The sequence below is a fragment of the Homo sapiens genome, chromosome 2, assembly GCF_000001405.40.
Source record: "Homo sapiens chromosome 2, GRCh38.p14 Primary Assembly".
Classification (NCBI taxonomy): domain Eukaryota; kingdom Metazoa; phylum Chordata; class Mammalia; order Primates; family Hominidae; genus Homo; species Homo sapiens.
In genome coordinates, this window is record NC_000002.12 from 215,879,208 (window position 1) to 215,886,261 (window position 7,054).

Below are 7,054 nucleotides of genomic sequence, written 5' to 3' on the forward strand. Positions count from 1 at the left end.
AAAACTCATATTCCCCCTTTTTGTGTTCTTTGCCGTAACTTTTTACTATGCTTCTCATACATAACTAAATTGGATTGACAGACATAATGGAATCGGGCTGATAAACAAATTTTCTTTGGTTCCATAAATGAAAGATGCAAACAGTTCTATTGATGGATGAAATGTAATAATGGGGTTCATTTTTCTGCAGAACTTCTCATCTGGGACTTTTCCACCACCACCAGCAGCAGCCCAGAGTGAGTCTGGAAATGCTTGTTTGTGTGTTTGTTTTTGACAATGACTGGGCCATGATGGTTTTTATCTCAGACACCTTATTACTCTTCTGTGCTCTAGGCTTTGTCAGCACACTTCAGTCAACAGATACATAAAACCAACGTGGAATCTTGGGAGGAAAATACAAAGTCTTGATCCCTTTCTTCCCAGAAGGACTCCAGCCTCCTTAAAGTGTCTACCCCTGCCCCAGCAAATTTCAAGTCACATTTATCAATTGTTTCTCAAAAAAAACAAAAAGAGGAAGTTTAAGCTCCTCCTCACTGAATACCCTAGAACAGCTGTCCTCAACTTTTTGGTACCAGGGACCAGTTTCATGGAAGACTATTTTTCCACAGATGGTGGAGGGGACATTTTGGGTATGATTCAAGCGCATTACATTTATTGTGCACTTTATTTCTATTACCATTACATTGTAATATATAATGAAATAATTATACAACTCACCATAATGTAGAATCAGTGGGAGCCCTGAGCTTGTTTTCCTGCAACTAGATGGTCCCATCTGGGGGCAATGGGAGACAGTGACAGATCATCAGGCATTAGATTATCATAAGGAGTTCATAACCTAGATCCCTCACATGCACAGTTCACAATAGGGTTCATGTTCCCATGAGAATCTAATTGCCCCCACTGATCTGACAGGAGGCAGAGCTGAGGCAGGAATGTGAGTGATGGGGAGCGGCTGTAAATACAGATGAAGCTTCGCTCACTCACCCACTGCTCACTTCCTGCTGTGCAGCCCAGTTCCTAACAGGCCACGGACCAGAACCTGTCCACAGTAATCACGGTAGGTAAGGCTTACTTACTATATTTTAATGTACCTAGCATTCAGCTAAGCACTTTAAGTGTTTCATCTATTATAATACGCATCCCAATTCTATGTGGGGGATACTATTAGGATTCTCATTTTACAAACAAACAAAACCGCAAGCTTAGATAGGATAAACAATGTGTGAAGCAGAGTGTCACAAGTTTTGTTTCCCAAGAAGCAGACTGCAGTGATTAGCATGAAGGAGGTTATCAGGGAGTAGAGTATTCTTAGGCTCCATCCCTGAGGAAGACAGATGGGGAAGAAAGAAAAGATGAGCTGGGTGGAGCCTCAGCAAAGCCTTCTGCCAACCCCATGGGCAGCTCTGTGGCTGGGATGGCCCCTGCAGAATCACTTGAGTTTGGGCCAGGAAGCGTTGCGACTGGTAGTTGGATAGAGGCTACCCCAGGAAGGCTAAATGGCCTTGAGCAAGACTGATCTCTTCAGCTAAGGCAATTCCTGAAGGGGATTGGCAGCTGAGAGGTTTCTACCACTCCCAGCAGCTGAGAAAATATATCCTTCACTCCTGCAGTGGGACCTGGGCAGTGCATCTGGCAACCACCACAAGGAGCTAACTGAAGTTTAAGTCTGTTGCTCTAGGATGTTAAAGAATTGCTGTTAGGAAGAAAATTGTTATTTTTTGTTTAGAACAGCCTCTTTGGTTATGAAAAGGGAGGCCCCTCTAAACTTACATAAATGAAAAAGAACACAAAGAAAGCGCCAAATTGCCCCACATAACAGAAGCAGGGCTGTGGGACTGGCCCCTGGAAGCTTTGGAGGTTGTAAGGGCCCTGAAGACTCAAAGAAGAGGAGGAGAAAAGCCCCAGCAACAAGCAGCAGGTGACAGCTGGGGGCATGGATTGCCTGTGAAAGGCTCCCACGTGAGGCTGGCCATGAGTCATCAAATATTTAAATATAGGTTGTTCGCTATTCTAATATTCTGTTTGGTTGGTGATCCCCCTCTGAAAACTTCAGTAAATGTCTGCCACACAGCACGTCTTTGTTAGTGAAGCTTTGGAGAACTATAGTAAAAGCTAGTCCCTGCCCACAGAGAAGCAGGGAAGCAAGCTGGATAGTTGAAAAATTCAAAAGGCAGGAAATTATGAACCTCCCTGAGAACCTTGGAAATACTGGAAAGGGCACTGAATCTTGTACTGCATGTGGGATGGGGAGCTATTCAATGTATTTGGCTACTAAAGGAAAGGATTATACTCAGAAAACTGGAGGGCTTTGGAATATCCAGTTTATACTTTCGCAAAAGAAAATATGATCATCTTTGCTTGGGAAACTCAAGAAAGTGCTTCAGAGAGGAAAAAGACACTGAGCTGGGAATTGGAGGAGGGGTAGGAGATATATAGGTGTACAGAGATAGAGCAGGTGGAATAAAAATGCATCCCGGCCCAAGGGAATAGCATGTAAGGCCTAAGGAATAATAGAAACTGTGCCAAAAACTCCAGTGAATCTGGAGTATGGAACTTCAAAAAAAGAAAAGAGAGATGACTCAGGGCTTTATATGCCATGCTGCAGAGCTTGGCTTTCATTGTAGAAGCTCCTGCTTGTCAACGAGTTCACATCTACCCACTGCAGTAAATGTGGTAGGCCAGGACTTAAAGAAAAAAATGCAAATAAATGAGGCTCATCTTTTTGAAACATAAATTTTACATAAAGATTAGAAGAGAAGGACTTTTTTTTAAGATTAAAACAACATGGCAGTATTCTGCAGTAGAATACAAAATTTCCACAGTTTTTTAAATAAAAAATAAGGTTTCAAATAGATTTCCTGATTGATTTGGTCAGTTCTTGCCATATTCTCTGCCCTCTCATATGAAAATAACTTTGATGAAACTCTTTTTTTTCCTTCTTTTTTTTTTTTTTTTACAGGAGTCAGGAGAGGTGCGGGGGGGTGGGAATTTCTTATGAAACTCTTACGTAGGGTGCTGAGAAGTGTTAAGCAGAAGAGTAAAATTATCATCAATTATATTTAGCTTTGTGTTGTTTCTATTTCATGTGTTTCAATTTTATGTCCTCCCTTCCCCAAATTTTGTTGTAGTTTACAACATGGCAAGGGGATAGAGAGAAAGAGACTATGACAAGAACAAGATGGAAACGGTGCACACATGCCGCAGGCTGGCTGTGCAGGATGGACCTCGTGGGACATCTATCCCTTGGTGATATTTTCATTGGATTTGTCATTGGTTTGCTTAGTCCCTAACTTTGCCACCTGATTATCTGGGTTTGTTTTTTTTTTTAATAACAGCTTTATTGAGATAGGGGGCTTAATACCTAGGTGATGGGTTACAGGTGCAGCAGACCACCATGGCACACGTTTACCTATGTAACAAACCTGCACATCCTGCACATGTATCCCACAACTTAAAATTAACTATATTAAATTACATTTTTAAAAAAATGAAGTCCTGATACATGCTACATCATGGATGGATCTTGAAAAACATGCTCAATGAAAGAAGCCAGCCATGAAAGGCCCTATACTGTATGATGTCATTTGTATGTAGGTCCAGAATAGGCAAATCTACGATCTGAGTTTTATCAGGCTGCCAGTTCATCCATGATTGAGCAAATCCCAGAGAACTGAGTCACACTCATTAAACCAGAAGATTTTTTTCACAAAACTATTGACAACATGTATTAGTCTGCTTGATGAGTTGTCATAATAAAATACCATAGACTGGGTGGCTTAAACAATAGAAATTTTTATTTTCTCACAGCTCTGGAGGCTGGAAGTCCAAGATCAACGTTTCAGCAGGGTTGGGTTCTATGAGGACTGTCTTGCTGGCTTGCAGGTGGCCACCTTCTCATTGTGTTCCCACATGGCCTTTCTTTGCTGCCTGCACTTGGAGAGGGAGAGCTCTCTCTTCCTCCTCCTAAGAAACCACTCACAAGGGCCCCACCCTCATGACCTAATCTAACCCTAATTATTTCCCAAAGTCCTCTCTCCAAATACCATCACACCGGGGGTTAAGGCTTCAACAGGGTGGGGGACACAATGTACAGTCTATAACGCAATATATCCAACATCAAAAAGGAATGTATTCTCCTAGCAGAAGAAAGATGAATAACACATTTTCTACCTGAATTGCCTATGTTTAAAAATTCTAATCTGTGTAATATTTTGGAGAAGACTTGCCATTGCCATTTGGTTCAAATTCAAATGGACTCTGGATGGGATCAACTGCAACCTTGCAATGGGGGGTGATTAATGGAAGTAAGGGACGGGTAGACAGCAACCACTTATTCAGAGAAAGGTTTGGAAAAGCATCAGGATTCCTCCTCCTTCTTCTGCAGTTCTAGCTCAGAAATCCCTACAAAGGCTTTGTTGCTGGCTCTGGACGTCGATCTATGTCTACCTACAAACACAAGTGGACCAGGCTAGTTCAGAGCTTCAGACACCTGGGACACGGGGATGACCTTTAGCCACAGGGTTGAAAGCACTGTGGGCATTATAAATTGGGGCATTGAATTTGAAAGAGAATAAAAGAGCCTATACAATCTTTCAATCCATTCATATGTCCTTACATCCTGAAATATTCTCCTTATGGAAATTTAAAGAATCAGAATATGTTCTAAGGAAGGCATGGGAGGGGTCACTAATTTTGGCAGATCCTGACACACTGTGGTTCCCCTGTCCTTGAGAAGAGAAATTTGCATTCACACTTCTGTGTGGTGACCACAATCACAGCCAAGGGAACTAGATGGTCTGTGACAAACATCCCTCAGGCTGCTGCATTTGGGGAGATGACATATGCTTCACTAAGAGGCTGACCTCTCTAGGTGTACTAAAGGCAAGGAGGCCTCAGCCAGATAAACACTAGCACTACCCACTTTTTTTGGCCTTCTTTTTCTAAACAGCATAGAGACTAATCCCTCCTCTTATAAAACTACTTCAGGGAAAGTAAAACAAATTAGAGCACATATTCTTTCATATTAACTGCATTTTAAAGTCTGCAGTGAGATTTGGGGAATTCCATAGCCCAGTGAACCATAAGGATGCCATTTTCTGCCCTTTCCTTCAAATTCTGGAATGTCTGGCTCCTTATGGAGTGACTAGAGTTTGTGAACACAGTGAAAGCCAAGCTTTTGACGAATGTTGTTTTACAAAATAGGTGAAAGTACACAAAACATAATAGTTTATCAATAATTAAATACCTGATGATGAATTGATACTTGACTGGTGATATGACAAATGGAATTCGTCTTTTAGATAAAAGAAGCTCATAATAAAATCCTTCAATAATTAAAGCCCCTTGGCTAAGGCCCAAGACCCTCCTGACACTGAGCAGAGCAAACAGCTTTTACTGAGGTCCCAGAATGCTTACTCTGAGATATCTTTGTCCTTCTAAACAATTAGCAGCTCTGTGGAAGGGCAATGGAATAACTGTCTGGGTGCCCCTTGACATTGAGAGATCTAAAGGAATTTCTTTTTCTTTCCTCTAAAATCTACTGTGATCAAAGAAGACTTAAGGGTGTCAAGAAGAAAAACAAGCTAACGCAATTTGTATTGAATTTTGAAAAATCTTTCCCTGTAGCCATGGGTAACTGGATAAGAAAACACTAAACAAGTCCCTTTGGGGATATTACATGATGGTATTCAATTTTGTATCTTGCCTCCTGTATTGCGGATTTCTTCAAGATACGAACAGGCTCTGAGAGACAGACTTATATAAATAGAAGCATTACTCAGTGATGACATTACCATTGGCTATAAGGCAAAATTACTTCTAAATAGATCATGACATTAAAAAAAAGATTTCTGGTTTCAGTGCTAGAAGAAAGCAGCCTAAGCATTTTAAAGGCTGCTCATAAAGCTCCAAAAAGTCACATATGAAATTATTTCAGATACAGAAGGAAATTGTAATGACGAACACATTCAATTTACCTTTGACAGAACCACCAAATTCCTCCCTACACTCCCCACCCTCAATCCCCTACCCAGACATCAGGGCAACATAAGGAATCATATTAGAAAGGGTAGTTTTGATTTATTGCTACAAGAGATGTGGAAGAGAAACTTTACGTGATTAGTTAAAAATTTCCCCCACTGGGAGCAAGGCTCCAATGTAACTCTAAAATCAGAACTCCCTCTGTTAGCAGGCTATGTACTTAATTAAGGTCTGAACTGTCAATGTTCAATATGCTAATTATGTGCTTAAGAACACTGATTATAATTTTTAATCTAGCACTCTGCTGGATATGGTACCTTCTGGATATATAATTACATAACCAAGGAATCTTAAAATACTCTCAGGTTGCCTTTTCCCAGTCAAGTCATATCATTCATGTAGTTAACATAATTTTTGGCTGTATAACCACAAAAACATACTGGGATTCTTCCTCCATCTATGCCAGAAATTTTCAGACACGTCCCTAATTCTTCATCTGAAATAGTCATCTTTTTTTCTTTCATCTAAGGAATTCTTCTTTACCATAGGCAGAATAATGTCCCCAGACACCTCAGTGCTGTAAAACGAGTTCCTCCCCTAGTGTGGATAGAAGGGAGGAAGACTGGCTCAGAGAGACCAGAGTGTCTTATCTCCAGTCTAGACTATGACTCCTGGAAATTCCAGGATGCCAGTATTCACAGTCCCTGGGATTTAAAAACAAGCATAAATGTACAAATGATACTCAACAGGTTCTGCATTTCCTCCCTGGAAATGTATATTTCAGACAAGTCAAGATTCTTTTATTCATATTAACCATTTCATGTCACGTCTTTTATGGGGGGCCATCAATATTGCTTTTCTCTGGAACATACCCCAACTCAGATCCATGGTATTGTACGTCTAGAAAGACGGGCAGAGTGTGGAGTAAACTGAAGTCATCATGATCTCTGTAACACCCTGAGGCTTCTATTCCCCCATGGACATTCCATGAAGGGAAGAAACATTCTTCTAACTCAAAAAACCACCAAAGGAGAGCCGGGAGGACGTCATACCTCGGCTGGTGGGTGCAGCG

The 7,054-nt window shown here is 41.1% G+C and overlaps 1 annotated feature.

The window, feature by feature from the left end:
- Window positions 1,793–1,862: an enhancer, noted in NCBI's record as "active region_17076". NCBI's record gives its function as "activates an Ori minimal core promoter by ATAC-STARR-seq in GM12878 lymphoblastoid cells {active_cell/tissue: GM12878}" and the evidence as "EXISTENCE:reporter gene assay evidence [ECO:0000049][PMID:35858748]".